At 45.9% G+C, this 24,465-nt stretch overlaps 1 pseudogene across 1 annotated transcript; it reads right to left on the reverse strand.

Moving 5' to 3' along the window:
• Nucleotides 1-6,397: 6,397 nt before the first annotated feature.
• Nucleotides 6,398-7,482, reverse strand: RNF5P1 (ring finger protein 5 pseudogene 1; annotated as a pseudogene). The gene has a single exon (NR_003129.1). The product of NR_003129.1 is annotated as a ring finger protein 5 pseudogene 1 (transcript).
• Nucleotides 7,483-24,465: the final 16,983 nt, after the last annotated feature.

Raw genomic sequence — 24,465 nt, forward strand, 5'->3', positions numbered from 1 at the left:
TGGTGAAGCCCAATGTAAGGAAATCCAAAAAATGATACAAGAAGTGAAGGGAGAAATATTCAAGGAAATAGGTAGCATAAATAAAAAACAATCAAATCTTCAGGAAACAATGGACACACTTATAGAAATGCAAAATGCTCTGGAAAGCCTCAGCAATAGAATCGAAAAAGCAGAAGAAAGAAATTCAGAGCTTGAAGACAAGGTCTTTGAATTAACCCAATCCAACAAAGGCAAAGAAAAATAATAAGAATATATGAACAAAGCCTCCAGGAAGTCTGGGATTATGTTAAATGACCAAACTAAAAATAATCAGTGTTCCTGAGGAAGAAGAGAAATCTAAAAGTTTGGAAAACATATTTTGGGGAATAATCAAGGAAAACTTCCCCGACCTTGTTAGACACCTAGACATCAAAATACAAGAAGCACAGAGAGGGCCGGGCGCGGTGGCTCATACCTGTAATCCCAGCACTTTGGGAGGCCGAGGCAGGTGGATCACGAGGTGAGGAGATTGAGACCATCCTGGCTAACATGGTGAAATCCCGTCTCTACTAAAAAATACAAAAAATTAGCCGGGCGTGGCAGCGGGCGCCTGTAGTCCCAGCTACTCGGGAGGTTGAGGCAGGAGAATGGCATGAACCCGGGAGGTGGAGCTTGCAGTGAGCCGAGATTGCACCACTGCACTCCAGCCTGAGCGACAGGGCGACACTCCGTCGCAACAACAACAACAACAACAAAAAGAAGCACAGAGAACACCTGGGAAATTCACCGCAAAAAGACCATTGCCTAGGCACATTGTCATCAGGTTATCTAAAGATAAGATGAAAGAAAGAATCTTAAGAGCTGTGAGACAAAAGCACCAGGTAACCAATACAGGAAAACTTATCAGATTAACAGCAGATTTCTCAGCAGAGAAATTTGTCTGACAAACGACAAATATCCAGAATCTACAATGATCTCAAACAAATCAACAAGAAAAAAAACAAACAATCCCATCAAAAAGTGGGCTAAGCCGGGCGCGGTGGCGGGCGCCTGTAGTCCCAGCTACTCGGGAGGCTGAGGCAGGAGAATGGCGTGAACCCGGGAAGCGGAGCTTGCAGTGAGCCGAGATTGTGCCACTGCAGTCCGCAGTCCGGCCTGGGCGACAGAGCGAGACTCCGTCTCAAAAAAAAAAAAAAAAAAAGTGGGCTAAGGACATGAGTAGACAGCTCTCAAAGGAAGATATACAAATGGCCAACAAACATATGAAATAATGCTCAACATCACTAATGATCAGGGTGATGCAAATCAAAACCACAATGCCATACCACTTTACTCCTGCAAGGATGGCCATAATCAAAAAATCAAAAGACAGTAGATGTTGGCATGAATGTGGTGAACGGGGAACACATCTACACTGCTGGTAGGAACATAAACTAGTACAACCACTATGGAAAACAGTGTGGAGATTCCTTAAAGAACTAAAAGTGGAACTACCATTTGATCCAGCAATCCCACTAATGGGCTACCCAGAGGAAAAGAAGTCATTATATAAAGAAGATACTTGCGCACGCATGTTTATAGCAGCACAATTTGCAATTGCAAAAACATGGAACCAACCCAAATGCCCATCAATCAACGAGTGGATAAAGAAACTGTGATATATATATATACACACACATATATATATATGATAGAATACTACTCAGCCATAAAAAGGAGTGAATTAATGGCATTCACAGTGACCTTGGGTGAGACTGGGGACTATTATTCTAAGTGAAGTAACTCAGGAATGGAAAACCAAACATCGTATATTCTCACTCATACGTGGGAGCTAAGCTATGATGATGCAAAGGCATAAGAATGACACAATGGACTTTGGGGACTTAGGGGGAAAGGGTAGACAGGGTGTGAAGGATAAAAGACTACCAATAGGGTGCAATAGATACTGCTTGGGTGATGGGTGCACCAAAATCTCACAATTCACCACTAAAGAAATTACTCATGTGACCAAATACCACCTGTACCCCAATAACCTATGGAAATAAAAGTAAAAAATATAAAATAATAATTATGTTTAAGGAAGTGACACCTGTTATTTATCCTTGCTTGCCTAAGGCCTTGAAGCAAAGTATTAAGTAGACCACAATCATGAATGATTTCTGGAAGAACAGCTCCCTATTAAATATTTAGCCCTAACCCCAGCTTATTATGTAGAAATAGTGTGTCATGTACAAGTGGGATAGCTGTCTCAGTGCAAATTCATCCACAGCCCTCGCTCGGGAAAAAATCCAGAGAGAAATGCCTTACTCAGTAGTGCCATGGTAGTTTTATTTTGAGAAACTTTATTACCTATAACTGCAACTTTCAAAAAATATTTTTTAAAATGTTTATAATTGTAATGTTTCTTTATTTGTATAAGTAACATTATTTAAAAAATAATTCAGTATAACAACTATTTACATAGCATTTACATTGTATTAGCTATTATAACTAATTTAGAGATGCTATAAAGTATACAAGAGGTTGTGTGTAGGTTATATGCAAATACTATGCCATTTTATATCAGGGACTTGAGCATCTGAAGATTTTGGTATCCAGAGGAGCCCCGGAATCAGTTCCCTGTGGATACTTAGGGAGGATTGTATATGAAAATATGAACATGCATTGACTGAATAAAACAATGATGATTAACTCTGGGGGTGTGACAAGAGGTGGGATTAGATACTGAGCACCTACACTGAATATGGGCAGAAACGATAAGTTATAATGCTAAATTCAAGTATTATTTAGGAAGGGGATAAAAATGCTGATGTAGGCAAATATGCATGTTATAGCAGACATAGAAATGTACTGCTTAACTCTCTCTTCAAGAAAGAACTTGAAGCTGGGCACTGTGGCTTACACCTATAATCCCAGCACTTTGGGAGGCCAAGTGGGAGGATTGCTTGAGCCCAAGAGTTTGAGACCAGCCTAGGCAACATAGTGAGACCCCACCTCTACAAAAAAAGTATACACACACACACACACACACACACACACACACACATATATAATTTTGCTTTTATGTGTGTGTGTGTGTGTATATATATTTATTATTATTATTATTTTTGAGACAGGGTCTCACTCTGTTGCCCAGACTGGAGTGCAGTGGCATGATCTTGGCTCACCGCAACCTCTGCCTCCCAGGCTCAAGTGATTCTCCCACTGCAGCCTCCCAAGTACCTGGGATTACAAGCATGCACCACCACTGCCTGGCTAATTTTTGTATGTTTAGTAGAGACAGGGTTTCACCATGTGGGCCAGGCTGGTCTTGAACTCCTGACCTCAAATGATCCACCTGCCTCAGCCTCCCAAAGTGCTGGGATTACAGGTGTAAGCCACTGCAATGGTTACATATATATATATATAATTTTGCTTATACATATGTATAAGCAAAAATGGACAGACTTTTAAGAAGAAATTGGTAATTAATAATCACACTGGTAGATTTTTACATTTCTCTTGGTAATTAATAGATCAATCAGATCAAAAAATTAGCATATAGAAGATTTGAATAATACAATTAGTAAGCTTGATATAACAGATATATAAAGATCCCTGTGCTCACTCTGTTCACTCCCTCTTCACCCATCAATTATAATAGTCATTTAGCGGAAAGAAATTGTATGACACAAAATCCAGACGACATAAAAGAAACAAAATTGATACATTTGATTACATAAAGACTAACACTTTCTCCACGGCTGAAAATACTACCAACCAAGTCAAAATCCAAACAACAAACAGTAGGATATTTACCACATAAACAGCAGACAGAGGACTCCTTTCTTCAATCTATATGGAACTTCTACAAACTAATAAAGACCCCAATGCAATAAAAATAAAGGACATGCACAGAATTCACAGCAAAGGACATCCAAGTGGCTCTTAAATTACATGAGGCAGGGCCTGGTGGCTTATGCCTGTAATCCCAGCACTTTGGGAGGCCGAGGTGGGCAGATCACCTGAGGTCAGGAGTTCGAGACCAGCCTATCCAACATGGCAAAACTACGTCTCTACTAAAAATACAAAAATTAGCCAGGCATGGTGGCAGGCAACTGTAATACCAGCTACTCAGGAGGCTAAGGCAGGGAGAATTGCTTGAACCCAGGAGGCGGAGGTTGCAGTGAGCTGAGATTGCACCACTGCACTCCAGCCTGGTGACAGCAAAACTCTGTCTCAAAAAAAATAAATAAATAATAAAATAATAATAATAATATGAGAAGATACTCAGTGGCACTCAGAAAAGAAATGCAAATTTATTTTATTTTATTTTCAGATAGGGTCTCACTCTGTTGCCCAGGCTGGAGTGCAGTGGCTCAGTCATGGCTCACTGCAGCCTCAACCTCCTGGGCTCAAGTGATTCTCCCACCTCAGCCTCCTGAGTAGCTGGGACTGCAGGTGGGTGCTACCACACCAGGCTAATTAAAAGAAAACTTTTTTTTTTGTAGAGACAGAGTCTTGCCATGTTGCCCAGGTTGGTCTCAAACTCCTGGGCTCAAGCGATCTTCCTATCTCGGCTTCCCAAAGTGCTGGGATTACAGGTGTGAGCCACTGGGCCTGGCCGGTACTACATGTAAAATTTGTGTAACTACCACTCTAATTAAGTATAGAACAGTTCTATCATCCCCAAAGCTCCCTTGTGCTATTCCTTTTTATTTCTTTCCTCCTTCCAATCCTAACCCCTGGCAACTACTGATTTCTTCTTCATCACTATAGCTTTGCCTTTCTTAGTTTGACCCTTGTTGTTGTTTTGGATTCTAAAAAATCATGCACATGTATTATCAATTAAAAACTAAATATATTTTGTTATTCATTGCCTAAATACTACCTCTTCCCTGAAGCATTTCCTGATTCCCTCAACTGGATAATTTCTCCTTCTCTAGGAAATCCCATGCCCTTCATTTGTATCTTTTATGCCACATATTATATTCTGTCTTGTGTTATGCTTGTGGACATGTTCTAGGTCCTTCCTCCTGAATTTTTAGCTTGAGAGCAGAAACTCTGTGTTGACCATGTTTCCTTGCCATCTGGGACCCAGGAAGCACTGCCCCATCCAGGGTTAACTAATTCCTAGAGATAACACACAACTCTCCTGCAAGCTCATTTATAAAAAGTGTTGAATTTTTTTATTTCCACAGGTTTTTGGGGAACAGCTGGTATTTGTTTACCTGAGCAAGTTCTTTAGTGGGGATTTGTGAGATTTTGATGCACCCATCACCTAAGCAGTGTACACGGAACCCAATTTGTAGTCTAACTTCTCACCCCCCTCCCACCCTTTCCCCTGAGTCCCCAAAGTCCACTGTATCATTCTTATTCTTTGCATCCTCATAGCTTAGCTCCCATTTATGAGTGAGAACATACAATGTTTGGTTTTCCATTCCTGAGTTACTTCACTTAGAACAATAGACTCCAATTCCATCCAGGTTGCTGTGAATACCATTAATTCATTCCTTTTTATGGCTGAGTAATATTCCAATATATATCACAGTTTCTTTATCCACTCATTAATTGATGGGCATTTGGGCTGGTTCCATATTTCCTGCAAGCTCATTTTTGATATGCAAACCAACCAATTCCAAGTCCATAGCCCCACCAGATCCCAAGGCCAGGACACTAATCCCCTGCCCTAATTGCCTGAGGGCCAGATACTGGACAACCACCTCTAAAGCCCAGAGCCTGCCAAAATTATTCAAATTTTTCATTCCTAGACCTGTTGGGCTGCTTACCCTTCCCTGCCTATTCCTTTCCAAGATAACCACACACAGGCTGTTACCTGTGTTTCTTCTTGACAGACCCTGGTGCTTCCCACGGGACCCTGGGTGGTAAGTGCACTTCCTCTGCTTGGGAACAGTTTGAATGGCAGTTGTCTCCTGATCTGCTGGTCTCATCATGCCTAAATAAATCCCAGGTACATTTTATTTTGTTATTATTATTATTTTTGAGATGGAGTCTTGCTCTGTCACCCAGGCTGGAGTGCAATGGCGCGATCTTGGCTCACTGCAACTTCTGCCTCCCGGGTTCAAGCGATTCTTCTGCCTTAGCCTCCGGAGTAGTTGGAATTACAGGTGCCCCCACCACGCCCACATAATGTTTGTATTTTTAGTAGAGATGGGGTTTCACCATGTTGGTCAGGCTGGTCTCGAACTCCTGACCTCAGGTGATCCACCCGCCTTGGCCTCCCAAAGTGCTGGGATTACAGGGGTGAGCCACCTCACCCAGCCAATCCCAGGTACATTTTAAAACAGACCCTGCCCTACTGATCTTTCTATTCCTAACTGTGCCTAATACTATTTCGTGCATGCAATGGGGTTTCCGTAAATATTTGGTGAATTGATTCTAATTGAGTTGTTTGAGCCCCATATGCCAGCAAATTTTATTTTGCTTTATTGATTTTTTTTTTATTTCACCTTTTTTATTGAATTTGTATTAAAGGAGGTAGTGAGGGGGAGGAAGCACTTAAGAGTCAGAATCCATATTAGACTCTGGGGAGTGAAAAATTAAATTAAATCAATAAGATGGGGAGTGGGGGAAGAGTCAGAGGGAACTTTGCCCACCTTTCAAGATCAAATCAAGAAATCAGGGAAAGCAAAGACTTAGGAGAGGAGAAAGACATTCTCTCAATCCATCCTCCTTCCCCAGGGCAGAGAATTAAACAACGTTACTGAGTGAGCCTCTGAGCAGAAGGCTCTCCCATCTATGCACAGACTTCACTCCTCCTCCCCAGGCCTTCCTGGAGAATGTCCAAGGCTGGCCTTAGCCAACAGAAATAGAGGGGTCAAGGGGGTCCAGGAGTACGGAAGGGTCAGCAGGGACCCTCAATACTGATTCTCCTCTGGCTGGAGGTGGGCGGGAAGCAGACATAGCTCAAATACTGAGCAGCCAAAAAAAGAAGAAGATGGCGAGAAACAGGAAGAGGGAATCCTGTCAGCTGGAGGCCGGGTGACCCTGTCCCAGATCCACACCTGTACCCCGGCGGAAAGGCTCATGGGCATTGAAGACGATGGTGAAAAAGCCAAAGGGAAAAGCACCAACACCAAATGAGAAGTGGAAGCCCCCGGTATCACCAAATGGCTGGAATCCCCCTCTGCTCTCTGGAGCTGGTCTCTGGCCCTGGGGGCGGGGTGGAGTTTTCAATCTGGGATCCTGGGGCTTCTGGCTCCCTCGCCCATAAAGCGGGACAACCTTCTCTCTGCTGATCCCAGCTTTACATACTGGACACTCTTGCCGTTCTGGCCGTGCCAGCCACTGATGAAGACATGGCCAACAGTACAGGTGGCCACACACACTGACCACAGCTTCCCGAGCAGTCTCCAAACATATATTACATTCGAAGGTCGCGCCCGCCCCGCCCCGCTCGCGATTTGGCCCCTCGGGGCCCCCGTCCTCCTCCTCCGCTGCTGCCATGGCCGGTTTTGTTTCGCCCCACGTACCCTTCAGTCCCCCCAAATACACATACACACGCCCCAACCTGCTTTATTATTACCAAGACGCTCCCACTCCTTCTCCCAACAGATTTCCATGGTGCAGCATCTTCCACAATGCTTTCTTCACACCTTGCCCTAGAGCAGTAACAAGCTCAAGAATTTGAGTGCCCATAGCATTTTTCTCCCTGGTCTGTGTCACTCCAAAAAGCCTCATTCTGTGAAATATATGGTGGAGCTGGCTTCTTGGTAGCCTGGCAGCCCTTACTCAGCCTTGCTTCCTTGGAGAAAGTTTCCTGATGTCTGACACTTGCAACCTGAGGGGAGGGATATTGAGATTGTCTGAGGATGGATGCCAACAAAGACCTCTTTGTGCTGCAGCCCATGTAGTTCTGTGTCTGGCTTTGGAGTGACGAGGGCTGGGACCTGTTCTCACCTGGGCATGTCACTGCTGCAGGAAGACGGCTGTCTGAGCTTGGGTCCCAAGCGCCGGATGAAGGGCACAGCCTAGCTGGTGGAGGCAGCAGCCTGCATGTGACACTTTTACAAATCAGGTTCAGAGAAACTCATTATAACTGGTTAGATGGAGGAGTCTGAACTGTTGAAGTGTGAGCTTGCAATGGTATGATTTATTTTCCCCAATTGCTGCTTTCATTTATACAGTGTAGGCCCTCTGTCCCGCTGCTTCACATCCCCTAATGCTTCCTTGGATGGGTGCCATGCCTCCCCTGTCACTTTTGGACATTCACACAGTCTCATTCCAGCAGTTAAGGCTTGGGCCTGTTCACATTTCCAAACTTCAGTCTTAAGCACAATGCAACACTCTGTCCTCCCTCCTCCTGGGCTGGTGAGAGCATTGGCTCCCAGCAACCCGGAGAACAGGAGGATGGTGTAGTCTGCCTCTGCAACCCTCCCTCCTTTTCTCTCTCTTCGATGGGGCTAGAGGGCAGGAAGGAGGGGTAGAGGCAGAGCTTTCCCTACCTGACCAGTCCCTGCCAGTGTGGGGAGACTTCCGGGCCTGGCTTTCTTGGGGGCAGTGTTCAGCTTCACCTCGGTTTCCTCCAAAATAAGGAACCCCCTCCAGGGTGGGCGGCAGTCTCCCTTTGGGTGCTTGTCCCCTCTGGTTTAGGTGTCCTACTACCCAGCTCTGTGGCTGTCCTGGAACTCCTGGTTCTTTTTTTTTTTTTTTTTCGAGACGGTGGTCTCACTCTGTTGTACCGGCTGGAGTGTACTGGCACAATCATAGCTCACTCCAGCCCCTCTTGGGCTCAAGTGATCCTCCCACTTCAGCCTCCTGAGTATGTGCACCACCACACGGTAGAGAAGAGGTTGCCCACGCTGCTATTGAACTCCTGGCATCAAGTGATCCTCCTGCCTCGGCCTCCCAAAGTGCTGAAATTGCAGGTGTGAGCCACCACGCCCAGCCACCACAGGCTTCTTCCTGCACAACTGCAGGAATCCCTGAGGTCCTCTTTATAGAGAACTGGAGCAGGGTGGGAGTGGCCCCATCTTCTTTCTAAGTGGTCTATGCTACAGTCCCTTCAGATCCACCGGCCACTCCAGTGAGCCTCTCACTTTCAGAAACCTTTAGTTCAGAAACAGGCATCAGTATGTGTTATGGGATGTGTTCCCCAAAAAGATATGTGGAAGTCCTAACTCTCAGTACCTTATGCCTTACCTTATTTGGAACTGGGTTGTTGCAGATATAATGAGTTCAGATGAGGTCATCCTGGAGTAGGGTGGGGCCTTAATCCAACATGACTGTTGTCCTTGTAAAAAAGGAGAAGAGACAAAGAGACAGAGTCACACAGGGACAAAATGGCTGTGTGATGATGGAGGCAGAGGTTGGAATATTGCAACTGCAAGCCAAGGAATGCCGAACCACATTCCTGCAAACCATGAGGAGCTAGGAAGAGGCAAGGAAGGATTCCTATAGGTTCCAGAGGGAACATGGCTCCACCACACCTTGATTTTAGACTTTCAGCCTCCAGAACTATGTGACAAGGAATCTCTGCTGTTTAAGTCACCTGTGTGTGACACTTTGCTACGGCATTCCTAGGAAACTAATGCAGCATCTCTGCTCGCCAGTTTCAAAAGTTCAAGGAACATGTGCCAAGCACTCTCCTTTTGGCCCCCATAGGTGGAAGAGGGGAACTAAAATGCCATGCACCATGGTCCTTTTTCCAGAATGTTCTCTGAAGAGTTTTTCAGCACCTCCACTCCAATAGGCGCTGTAGCTCAGTCATTATCTGGTGGGGATGAGAGGTCAGTGCTTCCTTCTTTCAGGCCTTGCCAACATTTCCTAGTGGTTCCCCTGGAGTTCCCCTCACTCCTCTTCTGGGCGGGGAAAGCCTTCATGCCCACTGCAGTGTTCCAAAGACCAGGGGCCTTCCTTCCTGTCCTCGAGCCTCCTCCTTTGGGCTGTGTTGGTGTTGAGCAGGCTGGGTCTGACTCCTCTTAGCTTGCCCCATGTGACCTGGTTGGCAGCCCTCTGGATGTAGGATATGAGGTCTTAATTGTGGTTTTTCTTTCTTGCCCTTACCCTGGATCCTGGCCATAATTCTGGGTAACCAGAAGAGCCCTGTTCAACATCTTGTCCCTTCATTGAGGGTACACCCTAAATGTGCTTCACCAAAGCAGCCCCAAGGGGCTGTGCCCTGAGGTTGCCCTAGGAAGAAGCTCATCAAGCCTTTGGCTCCCTCCAGGGAGGGCTGGGTCTCAGACAATCCCTGAGAGTCAAGAGACTGGAAGTGGAAACCTGATTATGTTTTTTTCCCTGAGTCAGTATTGGAGGGGGGAATCTTACTCTTGTCTCTTGTGAGCGTCTAGAGCAGAACTGAAAATGGAAGAGAAGATTCTGCGAGAGGCCTGAGGTGGGTGAGGAGATGAGGAGAGTCACCCTTGAGCCTCACCTTGGTTCTAGTGAAAAGGAAGGGAAATGTCCTCCCAGGAATCACAGCTTCCCGCCCTTGCCGTCCACAGATTCCTGTCTGAGGGGCTGCCTATTTTTCACAGAGCAGGGCTCAAAGTTTGAGGCCCCTAGATAGCTCTGTTGTCCAGGCCCACCATGAAGACCATGGAGACAAACATCGGATGTCCTGTGGGGGCTTGAGCAGGCCACATTGGCCGCATGGGAATAAAGAAAAATCTTGAGTTTCTTCAAGGGAAATTCCAGGCACCTAGCTGGCCTAGAGAGTAGATGAGCAATTTGATAAGCAAGAAGGTAATAGTAGCCTAAAACAATAGCCAAGAAATGAGAAGCAGGAGATGTTTTGTCCCTTACAGAAACTAAAGATAACATCTAAGCATATGTCCCTGAGCTGTTTTTCAGAAACCTGGACCCCTACTGAGTGGATCTGCTGGCACATAGACCTCAGATAAGGGGGAGCGGAGGACTGAACTTTGACTGCTGATCTTTGTCCTAAAGTTCTTCCTGAGGGGCCTGGAGGAGGTCATGCCCCTGGGCCAGAGCTAACATTCTTGTCTGCTGACCCCAAAGTTTTAGACAAAGCTTTTCCTCCTTGACAAAAGACTTCTTGCACATTCTGAGAAATGCGTCTTTAGGCGGTTTGATAGTTATGTGAACATCATAGAGTGCACTTATGTAAACCTAGATAGTAGAGCCTGCTACACACATAAGCTATTTCATATAGCCAATCAGAATTTCTTTAAATCCACCTATGATCTATGCCCCCCCACCCACCCACTTCAAGATGTCCCACCTTTGAAGCTCAAATCAATGTATAGCTTCCAAGACTTGATTGATGACTGTACTTGTAACCTCTGCCTGTTCGCTTTTAAAAACCCTTACGTCTAAGCTGGCCAGGTGCGGTGGCTCACACCTGTAATCCCAGCACTTTGGAGGCTGAGGCAGGCAGATCACTTGAAGTCAGGAGTTCGAGACCAGCTTGGCTAACATGGTGAAACCTCGTCTCTACTAAAAATACAAAAATTAGCTGGGTGTGGTGGTGTGCGCCTGTAATCCCAGCTACTCAAGAGGCTGAGGCAGGAGAATTGCTTGAACCTGGGAGGCGGAGGTTGCAGTGGGCCAAGATGGTGCCATTGCACTCCAGCCTGGGCAACAGAGCAAGACACCATCTCAAAAAAACAAAAACACAAACAAACAAACACCGTTACCTCTAAGCTATTGGGGAGTTTGGGTCTTAAGCCTGAGCTGCCCAATTCTTCTTGCTTGGCTCCCTGCAATAAATGCCTCACTCTCTCTTGCTGCAGACCCATGTCAGTGTTTGGCTTTGCTGCACAGAGCAGTTGGGCCCAAGTTTGGTTTGGTAACAATATCTAGAGACTTTCTCTGGGCACAATCAATGTCTTTGCTTGCCTCTGTCATTGGCAAAGAACCAGTGCTTTCCCAGACCACCTGGAGCAAGGGACCATGTGGTGCCTGAGCCCTGGAATCAGAGAGCTGCTAGTCATGAGGGGGCTCTGGGAACTGGCTTCCTGCCCCGAGCTCTCTGGGGCCATGTGGCGTCCCGGTCCTGGCAGGCTGGCTTCTCCTCTTCTGGTGTGTCTCATTTCTGACCAGCTTCCCAACCTTCTCTTTTTGTCTATGCCAAATGTGGAGGAAGCTCGTCAGATGGGCAGAATTCTTCATTCCAGGCCTGCTCGAGGGTTGCCAGCCAGCCTGTGGGTGGGATGCCCTTGGTCACATGGTCAACTCTGGTCCGATTATAGACCACCCTGGGCAAAGAGCAGCAATCCTTGGCCCCTCCCTGAGCTGAGGCCATGGGCAGGCAGGATGAGCTCAGCAGCTTCACAGCGGACGCGTCCAGTTTAAGGGTTTGTTTTGCAGTGATTTCTCCATCCCTCCTAACTTCTCCTTTTCTTTCTAAATCAGCCCTGGGTGGGCTAAGGCTATAATTTTCCTCAGTGTAAATTGCTCTGGGACTGGGACAAGAGGCATTAGGAGGGCAATGAGCACTGCAGAAGTAGATGGAGGGGGTGGAAGTTGGGAAAAAGGGCAAGTGACTAACCCAGCTCTTTTTGTCCTGCCTGGAGAGGTGAGACCATGGGCACTTTCATGATGACAAAGTCCCAGGAATCCCTCTCCTGCCCATGCCCAATGAGGGGAGTGACTTAATGTCTGCCAAAGGTGGCGTGTGGAGGCCAGCATTCAGGTCACCTCCTTGGCTTGGCTCCAGGGCTCCCAGGCTCTTCTCCCACCCTTCTGAAAAGAGGTACAATTTCAACAAATCCAGCAGTGCTGTCTCTGACAGTAAGCCTACCTGTAGACCTGGACACAAGAGAAGCAACGACTCTCCCCGGCTTGCATCAACCCGGGTATGAAAGTGCCGGCATGTGTCTAACTCCAATATTTAGGAGAGACACAAAATCTGTCCCTAAGGAGCTTCCAACAGAATTGAGATATCAGTCATCTCTAAAGTACTGTCATATGTTGCTTAATGATGGGGCTACATTCGGAGAAGTGCATCTTTAGGAGATTTCATTGTTATGTGAACATCATAGAGCACACTTACACAAACCTAGATAGCAGAGCCTACTAAACATATAAGCTATTTGATATAGCCTATTACTCCTAGGCCACAATCCTGTATAGCATGGGTACAGAATACGGTAAGCAATTATAATACAACAGTATTTGTGATCTAAACACAGCTAAACATAGAAAAGGCACAGTAAAAATACCGTATTACAATCTTATGGATCACCGTTGTATACGTGGGCTGGTGTTGACTGAAACGTCATTACGTGGTGTGCATGACTGTGCTGAAGAATGCAGGCAGTTACAAATCAGTCCTGAATGATCTGCATTGGACACTATATGCTACTGGCGACCCCAGGATATTACAGTGCAGGCTTCCTAGAAGGAGGGCTTCCTAGAAGTCAGTGAACAGACAATTCTCACTAGGGATGAGAGAGGAGGTAGGATTAGTATTGGAAATACTTCGAGCTTGTAACAATTACAAATGTTTCAGTCTCTTCCCCTGAGATTCTGACAGTTCCTCCAAGGGGACAGGAGAATTTATTTTGAAAAGGTTCTCCAGGGGATTCTAATTCTCTCGCCTACTCCACACAGATCTCTCTGAGAGCTGCTGCTCTACGCTTGTGGTCTCTAAGCTTTTTTGATGAGGCACTCCATGGATAAAATGTTTAGGGTATGTGCCTTCAATATTTGGGTATTTATTTATTTTAAAAATAACACCCAGCAGGACGTGGTGGCTCACACCTGTAATCCCAACACTTTGAGAGGCAGAGGTGGATGGATCGCTTGAGCCCAGGAATTTGAGACCAGCCTGGGCAACGTAGCGAGATGCTGTCTCTATAAATAAATAAATAAAAATAAAATTAGCTGGTATGGTGATGTGCACCTACAATCCAGCTACTTAGGAGGCTGAGACGGGAGGATCACTTGAGCCCAGGTTGTCAAGGACCATGATTGCGTCACTGCACTCCAGCCTGGGCAACAGAGCAAGACCCTGTTTCAAAACAAAACAAACAAAACCAAAACCAAAAAACCCTCTCATATACTTCTGTATTCATATATTAGTCATCATAAAGGAAGCACAAACATATAGTTCAACAGGGGCAGGCTTAAAAATAAATAGAAATGGAACTTATAATGTTTTCTTATTGACTTCTAACAGATCACCTGGCTCCCTCCCTAAGGCATACACCCCCTTTGGGAATCACTGCTCTCGGTTAATATATGTATCCCTCATGCCTAGCTCAGTGTCTGGCAGGCAGTAAGTGTTCAATAAATAATTCTGTGGAATGGATGAATAACGAATGCATTAGGGCAAGATCTCCAAGAATATGAATATTTTGAAAATATCCAAGTGGGGAGATGGAATGAGCTGAGATTCTCCTTTATAGTTTACCATTATGATGCATTGACTTTTCTTAACAGTAACATGAAGATTAGATCTTGCAGGAGGACATTAAGTCTGAGTAATGATGGATCGTTTAGTTAATTAAATTGAATGTATTTATTTATCACTCATTTCCATTAGCATGGCAGCCCCATATTCCCACATTCTGACTACTTGACCATCTCCCAGCCAGGCTGATCCGAGCCTCGAGATTCCATCAGCCAGACAGGGACATGCTCTGGGAGATGGGATTCGGTGAGGAGTCTCTCAGGAGAAAGAAACCCCAAATCTCAGCTCTTAGTTAATTAGGTGCTCTGTAAAACAGGCTGGACAGGCTGAGTGAAAGGGATTATTACAGGCTTCTAATGGCTGGGAACTGATTTATTAATGTGGCACAACATTTGCATGTGAGGTGGAAAGCTGGTGATAGTGCAGAGGGGAGTTTTGCAGGCTGTGGGATGGAGGGTTCAGGGCTGCTGGGGTACTCTCTCCAGGGAGTTTTCTTTTTCTTTTGACAGGGTTTTGCTTTGTTGCCCAGGCTGAAGGGCAGTGGCACGATCTTGGCTCACTGCAACCTCTGCCTCCCGGGTTCAAGCCATTCTCCTGCCTTAGCCTCCCAAGTAGCTGGGATTACAGGCACACCACCATGCCCAGCTAATTTTTGCATTTTCAGTAGGGACAGGGTTTCACCATGTTGGCTAGGCTGGTCTCGAACTGTTGACCTCAGGTGATCCACCCGCCTCTCTCTCCCAAAGTGCTGGGATTATAGGCGTGAGCTACTGTGCCTAGCCATCCAGGGATTTTAAAAAACATTTCTCTTCCTACCCACTCCAGGAGCCTTCCTTTGGGGAGGAATGAGACACTCTCCTTCCAAGCAAGAGGCCACTCTCAAAGACAGCCTCCCGACTTTGTCAGTAGAATACCAGGACAGTCCAGGCTCCCGCCCTAATTTTGTAGATAACAATACAGGCTGAGCATCCCAAATCTGAAATTTTGAAATCTAAAATGCTTCAAAATTCAAACTTTTTGAGAGCCAACACAATGCTCAAAGGAAATGCTCATTGGAGCTGTATTAGTCCATTTTCACACTGCTGATGAAGACATACCTGAGACTGGGTAATTTATATGTGTGTGTGTGTGTATACATATATATGCACACACACACACACATACACATATATATACACACATATATGTATATACATATATACATATGTAAGTTACCATATATACATATATATTTATGTATATATGTATATACGTGTGTGTGTGTATATCTATATATGCGTGTATATATATATAGTTTTTGAGAGGGAGTCTTTTTCTTCCACCCAAGCTGGAGTGCAGTGGTGCAGTCTCGGCTCGCTGCAACCTCTACCTCCTGAGTTCAAGGGATTATCCTGCCTCAGCCTCCTGAGTAGCTGAGATTACAGGCACCCGCCACCATGCCTGGCTAATTTTTGTATTTTAATAGAGATGGGGTTTCACCCTGTTGGTCAGGCTGGTCTTGAACTCCTGACTTCAAATGATCTGCCCGCCTCAGCCTCCCAAAGTGCTGGGATTACAGGTGTGAGCCACCATGCCTGGGTAATTTATAAAGAAAAAGAGGTTTAATTGACTCACCATTCCATGTGACTGGGGAGGCCTCACAATCATGGTGGAAGGCAAAAGGCACATTTTACATGGAGGCAGGGAAGGGAGAATGAGAACCAAGCAAAAGGGTTTTCCTCTTCTAAAACCGTCCAATCTCGTGAAACTTACTCACTACCACGAGAACAGTATGGGGGAAACTGCCCCCAAGATTTAATTATCTCCCACCAGGTCCCTCCCACAACACATGGGAATGATGGGAGCTACAATTCAAGATGAGATTTGGGTGGGGACACAGCCAAACCATATCAGGAACATTTCAAATTTTTGGATTTGGGAGGCTGAATTAGTATAATGCAGCTATCCTGAAATCTGAAAAAAAAAAAAAAAAAAAAAAAAACCAAAGGACTTTTGTTCTTAAGCATTTCAGATAATGGATACTCAACCTGTAGTGACACTTCTGTGATGTTTACTTATAGCACAGTTGCCAGTCTCTGTTCTTAAACTGCTTCACACATATGTTGACATATTGAATCCTTTACAGCAACATTGGGGGAAGGTGCTAAGAGTTTCTTTCTTTTACTGCTGGGGACACTGAGACACACAATGACTAAGTAACTTGCCAAAGCTAGTTAGTGGCTAGTTAGTGGCAGTTCTAGGATTCAAACCCCAGCAATCTGGCCCCAACAACCTGCCTTTAACCAAGATATCATTGATGAGTGAGCAGAACTTCCCCTGACTTAAAAGACCGCGGTTACCTTTGACTCAGTTCAGAGCCCAGTTTCTGCTGATCTTCTCATTTCCCTTCTCCTCAGAACTCTGGTATCCTAGGCGCCCCCACTCCTAATTCTCTAAATTAATTTGTTCTTAGCTCCCTAATTCACACTAAAGTGTAAATGACTATGAACCCCTTAAAGGGCTAGCCTCTCTGAGAAAACAGGTAAGCAGCATCCAGAAAGTTAAAGCAAGGGATGAAGTTTCTTCAAAGATGGAATCTGAAGCAGCTTCTGGGGGGTCTGCTGTGGGGTGGGTGTTTGGAGGCTCAGGGTCAGAGTACACCCGCTGGCAGGCAGGCAAGCACTTTTTCCTCTGGGGGTGCAGCCTCCCAGATGCTGGAGTGGAATGCAGCCCTGGCCTTCCCCCTCTCTCTTTGGTGGTCTCCGCTGGAACCCTGGGGGGATCATGGAACAGAGCAGCTGCCAGCCACCGGCGACGCCATCGTTAGAAAACTGGGCACAAAGTTTATAGCACATTTCACAGTTTTAAAAGTATTTGTTTGATATAAATCTTCTCAAACTAGTCACCCTTGTGGGGTAGGTTGGTTTGTCCTCATGCCAATGCCGCAGCCATCTTGGACACGTGGATGTTTGAATGGCAGTCCCTGCAGCTGGGATTCAGGGGTAGGGGTGGGGGCGCCCTGGTGACAACCACGGCCTCTTGGAAGGCTAGGGAGAAAACAGAAACCCCACTGAGTGGACACAATCAGTCTGGATCCTTATCAGGTGTCGTTACACATGTGGCCTGCAGAGTAGGGGTTTTGATGGGGTTCCGGGGAGCCCAGGGTGGAAGGCAGGGATCATAGAGACTTCTGAGGCTCCGTCCACAAGGGATGCTGGCCTCGCCTGGGCTCTGTGACTCGTGTGTGGCCTTTATGAGCCGTGACCAATGGCTCAAGGCCTGGGCTGGCAGCCGCGAGCCTTCATCCTAGGCAGGAATTCTAATTAAACTGGGGCTCCTGGGTCTCACTTACAAAGAGCTCAGCCCCAGACCCTGCTTTTCGGGGCCCCACCCACCTGGACATACTCTTTCACGCAACCTGCAGTGATATGCAGCTCAGGGAATCCCTGCTTCATGCTGCTGCGGGCTGCGGAGGGCCGGGGCCTATGCTGATGCTTGGGGTGGGCCCTGAGCTTTGACTCAAACAGATGTTTAGAGAAAACTCTCGCTGGGCTCTGGGATCATCCAGGGACTTGGCTTGCAGATGCTGTCCCTGTTCTCTGTGCTGTTATTTTCTATCTATGGTCATCTATTTTCCTCACAGTGAATGTGGTTGGTTTAGGTGTTCAGGGATCCAGGGAAATTTGGGGTGGTGGAATCCTCTCATCCAAGCTTCGCCAAGGGACCAACGGAAGGGGTTTCATTCAGCAGTGTCCAACCGAGTACCAGGTGGACTGTGAGCTTTGAGCAGCCCGGTCCCCGACTCATGAGAGTTGGATGAGGAACAGGGTGCTTTCCAGAGAGCTGACCTGAGGGATGGGTAGAATTTGCATAGGCAGAGAGGAAGCCTGAGCGACAAGGACATAGCCGCTTTACACATATTCAATAATATTGGAGGGCTGGGTGAGGTAGCTTATGTCTGTAATCCCAGAGCTCTGGGAGGCTGAGGCAGGAGGATTGCTTGAGGCCAGGAGTTCAAGACCATCCTGGGAAACATAGGAAGACCCCCCATCTCTACAAAAACAAACAAACAAACAAACAAACAAACAAACAAACAAACGTGGACATGGTGGTGCTGCCTTTAGTCCTAGCTACTGGGAAGCTGAGGTGGGAGGATTGCTTGAGCCCAGGAGGTGGAGGCTGCAGTGAGCTGCGATTATACCACTGTACTCCAGCCTGGGCGATAGAGCAAGACTCCAATTCTAAAATAAATAAATAATAAATAAATAAATAAATAAATTAGGAGGTTTATCTGCACATCAGACATCCTTAATTCTCAAATGTATCTGATTCTGCTAATTCCCAAAGCAAAGAACTGAAACAACTCTGCTCCCCTTCCTCATTCAGCAATCAGGTTATCCTGTGGCTACTTATTTTCCTCTTTAAATCATGTCCATTTCAGTCTAATTTCAGCAGCATAAAATGAGGACGTGTGTGGATGTGGCCGATGGAGGCTGTGACAGGGGCTTTGACTGAAGTTGTGTTGACAAATGTATGACTGTAGTTGCTCTGTCCCTGCCTTCTCTCCAGGGCCTCCTGTTCTTGCCACAGCCTCCCACCACCCCAACTCAGTCCAGGCCTGGGTCCTCTTTGACAGGCTGTCCCCTGAGTACTGTTCATTGGTGAACAAAGAGTTCAGTGAAAAGAAGGCAGAAGGCCTGGGGTGAGAGAAAATCTCCGAGGGGGACCTGATGCAGCCTTGGGGGAATAGAAGCTGCCTAGCTTCTTGGGGTCTGCACAAGCTAAGGCCTGGGCTCCTGGCAGACTTTCCTGCTAGCCCAGAAGACACCCACACACCCAAACCACTGGGAACGTGGCTTGCTGACCTTGGCAGGAAGAAGGGCTGAGTCGGCCTTTTGCGTAACATAAATACTCAGCACAGCTGCCTGCGACCTGCCCACTTCTTGTCAAATCCAAGAAGGAAGGGACCTGCTGGCCAAACCCTTTTTTCCCACTGGACCTCAGACCCCAAGGAACTTGGAGTCTGCTCAAGTGAGTGAGTTGGGGCTCTTCGCCCTCCCAGAACTGGCTGTTGATGGAAGAAACCCCTGCGTAGGAAGGATGGTAAGAAAATCCAAGGAGCTGCCTGTTCTATTGGGAAAATAAAAGGTCTGCTGTGAACCAGCATTCTTGGGAAGCTCCCTGTAAACTCTTATAGGGAAGCTCTGAGCCTTTTCACCTAAGCTGATCCAGGAGGGAGGAGGGAAGAAGAAAGCATAAAATAACTTGGCAAAAGAAGTTGTATTTCCCAGCGCTTTGCTCACCCATCTCCACACAGATGCTGGAGCCTTCAGCACCCTCCCAGCCCTATACTCGGGGTCGATCCTGACTCAATCCTTTGTTCATAATGTGCTGTCATCACCCCCAGCCCTTGTCACCATTTGCAAAGTTTCCCTTCCTTCCCTCTCTTTGTCTAGGTCCCACACATCCTTTTAGATCTGATTCAAATCCCACGACTTCCATGAAGATGTGTTCCACTTACTCTGATTTCTCTCTTCTTGGAACTCCTGTCACCCTGGATTCATGGTTAGCACTTAATTTTTGTCTAACAGTTTTGTGAAAATTAGCACTGTCCTATCAGCCCCTTGTCACTATGTAGCTAGCACAGCCCAGATGGATACTGGGATGGGCTCAGTAAGTACAGATTGACAATGACTTCCCAAAAAGATGGCAAGTTCTTCCAGCAGCTGGGGATGGGCCACTGTACCTGTTTTCTGGGGCCTACCAGACCACGGGACACGTTGGAAGGAGGGTCTTTGGTCTTGAAGTTTGGAGGTGAGGCCCCAGCAGGAAGGAGAACTAAGGTGACAGATGTATGCCTTTTGGATGGGGCCTGGTTTGGGGGCATTTCATAGTCCCATGCCAATCCCAAGGCACCACTGGTAGCCCCTTTGTGAGGATCTGTCAGGGAGAGAGTGAACAAGATGTTGCCTCAGCATTTTAGGACCACAGTTTCCTCATCTGTATGAGTGGTTTCAGTAGGTGACCTCAATTTTGGGGAGACTGAATTGTGTCTTCCCAGAATTCATATGTTGAAGCCCTGACCCTCAATGGGGCTGTATTTGGAGATAGGGCTTTTAGGAGATAATTAAGATTAATTGAGATCATAAAAATGGGGTCCTATCCAATAGGATTGGTGGCCTTATAAGAAATCTCTCTTGCTGGGCGTGGTGGCTTACGCCTGTAATCCCAGCACTTTTGGAGGCCGAGGTGGGTGGATCACGAGGTCAGGAGTTTGAGACCAGCCTGGCCAATATGGTGACACCCCATCTCTACGAAAAATACAAAAAAAAGAAAAAATTAGCTGGATGTGGTGGCTTGCTCCTGTAGTCCCAGCTACTTGGAAGGCTGAGACAGAAGAATCGCTTGAACCCAGGAGGCGGAGGTTGCAGTGAGCTGAGATGGTGCCACTGAACTCCAGCCTGGGTGACAGAGCAAGACTCCATCTCAAAAAAAGAAAGAAAAAAAAAAAAAAAGAAAGAAATCTCTCTCTCTGAGTGCATTCATGGAGGAAAGGGCACAAGAGTACACAGTGAGAAGGTGGCCATCTGCAAGCCAGGAAAAGAACCCTCACCCAAAGCCAAACCCTGCTAGACCTTGATCTTGTGCTTTATAGCTTCCAGAACTGTGAGAAAATAAAAGTGTGTTGTTTAAACCACCCAATCTATGGTTTTTTGTTATGGCAGCCTAAGCTGACTAATACAAGAGTGCTCACTGTGTGCCAGGAACTCATACCTGTTCCGAGGTTGTAGCAGTGAACAAATAGATAACAGGCCCTTCCCTCATGAAGCTTACACATTTTAATAGGGGAAGACAGAGTTTAAAAAATGAAGTAAAATAATAATATGTCAGATGGTGATAAGTGCTACAGAGAAAAATAAAGCTGAGAAGGAGACAGGGAGTGCTAGAGAGGTGTGTTGAGGCAAGGCCAGGGTTCCTGGTGGGCTTGTCTAGAAAACCTTGCCAAAAGACATTTATGCAAAGACCTGAAGGAGATGAGCAGGTCATCCACAGGAATATCTGAGATTTTAAAAATTACACTAAAAATATCCATTGTACAAGTAAAAGGTATGGAAACTGAAGTCTAACATTGGTTCGTAATTTAGGGATTTAGTTGACTGCAAGTTCACCAAGAGTCCTGGGTGTTCTGTGGCCACTCAGAAAGTTAATGATACATGAACAGAAGTATAGTGGCCAGACTGGGTGGTGATATTCCAACTGTATCCAGACTTTTGTATAGACTCAGAGGATGTTGCATAGATACCTCCTCTATCCAGACTGTTGCATATCTAGACAGTTCTGGACACTGCATAAGACCACTCCAGACCACAACAGCAAGGCTGAGATTTGGAAACCACGTCTTTGGGGAACAGTTGAGGGAACTGGCAATATCTAGTCTAGAGAAGAAAAGATGGCCAGGCATGGTGGTTCATACCTATAATTCCAGCCATTTGGGAGGCCAAGGTGGAATAATTGTTTGGGGCCAAGAGTTTAAGACCAGCCTGAGCAACATAGTGAGAACCTTTCTCTACAATAATTAAAAAACTAACTGGGCAGGGTGGCATGCCTATGTACCAGCTACTCAGGAGGCTGAGGTGGGAGGATTGCTTGAGCCCAGATGGGCAAGGTTGCAGTGAGCTGTGATCATGCCACTGCAATCCAGCCTGGGCAACAGAGCAAGACGCTGTCTCCCCTCGACCCCCACAAAAAGAAAGATTTGTACGGCTGTGCAAGGGGATCTTTTCCACTAGATGGAGGATTGCTAGAAGGGCTTATCGTGTGGAGACACTGAATGCAGAAAAAGAACTGATGGGCAATAATCCCAAACCCAGCAAGTCAGTGCCAACAATGGGACAGAAGTCAGGCAGGTATACTTGATAATTACACTTTCCCCTAGGATTGGTGGAGGATGATTGCTCAGGGGTTGGAGGAGGATGACACACATGGTCACACATCAAACATACTGGGGAAGAGATGCCAGCACCGGGGAAAAGGAAGGACTGATGGTTTTTTGGTTCAGTCAGCTCTGAGAGGTCAATCAGAATGTGCATAGAATACCATGGCATAATGGGAAGTTATTGAACTGGAAGATGGGATCCTCCTATCCATCAATTAACCTCTCTGGGGTCCAATTGTCTCCTGTGAAAAATGTGGATAACAACACCTGCACAGTTCAAGGGCAAGGGCAAACCACACAATTGTTTGAGAGTCTTTCCAGCTTAAAGATCCACTAATCTAAGTTACGGGGAGAAAATTTCTAACCCTAAGTGCCACCGGACATGAAAGGGGTATCTCGCCAATGGATTTGTTTCCTTAGGAGCTGGAAGGCATCCAGTGAGACACACTAGAGGAGAGATGGTCTCTGAGGTTGTTTCCAGCACTAAGGGTCTTCGGTAAGATGATGACTCATGTGTCTATGCTCCTTGCTCTGTCTTCAGCTACACATTAGCCACTTATAGTCAAATGTGACCCCATATTATACCCTAGTATGAAAATCAGAACACAGTGTACAGCAAAGTCAAACTGTAAGATTCTCCAGTTTCCCAACTTGATAGCTATTACCATTTGCCTCTTGAGTGGTGGAGTGGTTTTTGTCTCAGGACCTGGGTCTTCCAGTCATGGAAGCTGAAATAGGGTAAGATATATCCTGCAAACACAGCTAGTGAGATGGGGGCTTGTAGAGGTAAGAATATATGATGGATACAGAGCAAACAGCTACTCAATTGGAGGACAATTTCTGAAAGTGACAAGGGCTTACTGCCCCTCCTGGGTTCTTGCAGAGCAGCCTAAGCTTCTCTCATCTCTTCATCAACTGCCCACCTGTCTTCTTCCAGACCTCTCTGTGTTCCATTCTAATGGGCATCCTTATGGATCGACAGAATCCTAACATTTCTGATCTGGAAGGATTTTTTGAGAATATGTAGTTCAATGTTTCCCCAAATGTCAGTCTTTCACAGTTTTGTCATATACATATGCCAACTGTTCTATTATTTACTCATGGTTTTATTTAAATTGAGACTTTTCAAAACCTTGTGTGTTTTTATATTACCAACATAAATTGAAAACCAGCCTTACCAGACATTTAAGATAGCCATGATTAATATAAACATGAAAATTTAAAAATGTTTGCCCATTTACCCATGTAAAAGCATCTTAAGTGCCTTATCATAGTACACCCATACCATACTTTGGAAACATGGATCCACTGCAACGCTCCTCCTGAACAGATTTGAAAACAATGACCCAGAAAGGTGAAGTGACTTGCTCAAGTTCCACAGTGGTGAGTGTCCTAAACTCTTGACTCCCAACCAAAATCTGTCAGCTTATTCTATCTTATAACTCTTTAGATGAAGCTGATGAGGATTAAAGATATCTACCATCTGAATTAGGGTTCCTAGGGCTGCAGTCGCAATGCATCGCAAACTGGGTGACTTAACACAACAGAAATGTTTTGTCTCACAGTACTGAAGGCTCTAGTCCAAACTCAAGGTATTGACAGGACCATGTTCCCTCTGAAGCCTCTAGGGGAAGATGCTTCCTTTCCTCCTCCATCTTCTGGTTGCCATAGATGTCCCTTGGCTTGTGGTGGCATAACTCCAATCTCTGCTTCTGGCTTTACGTGACGTTTTCCCTGTGTATTTCTGTCTCATGGCCATTTTGTTACAAGAACACTATCTTCTTACAAGGACACCAGTCATATTGGATTAAGGCCCCACCCTACTCCTGTATGACTTTATCTTAACTTACCTAATTACACCTGCAATGACTCTATTTCCAAATAAGTTCACGTAACATATCTTTTTAGGGGGATAAAACTCAACCCATAACACCATCTGAAAGGGACTTGAATCTAATAGGGGACAGAGAAAGACTCCAGATATATCATGAATAAAAGTAAAATGATGGGACTACATACATCAATAAAATATTAACTTGCATTGGCATTGTACACTGTGGTATGCAAGCACTGTCTCATTGGTTCCTCACTATAGCTCTGTGAAGCAAACAGGTATGGTAGATTGTTGCAGTAACAGTCCCCAGTGAATCATTCTCCCTGTGTCTATGCCTTTATGTAGCCCTTTTGACAATGATTCTGGGCCTGACCGTGTGGCTTGCTTTGGTCAGTGTGATATTAGCAAATGTGATGC

This window comes from Homo sapiens, chromosome 8 (genome assembly GCF_000001405.40).
Source record: "Homo sapiens chromosome 8, GRCh38.p14 Primary Assembly".
In the NCBI taxonomy this organism is placed as follows: domain Eukaryota; kingdom Metazoa; phylum Chordata; class Mammalia; order Primates; family Hominidae; genus Homo; species Homo sapiens.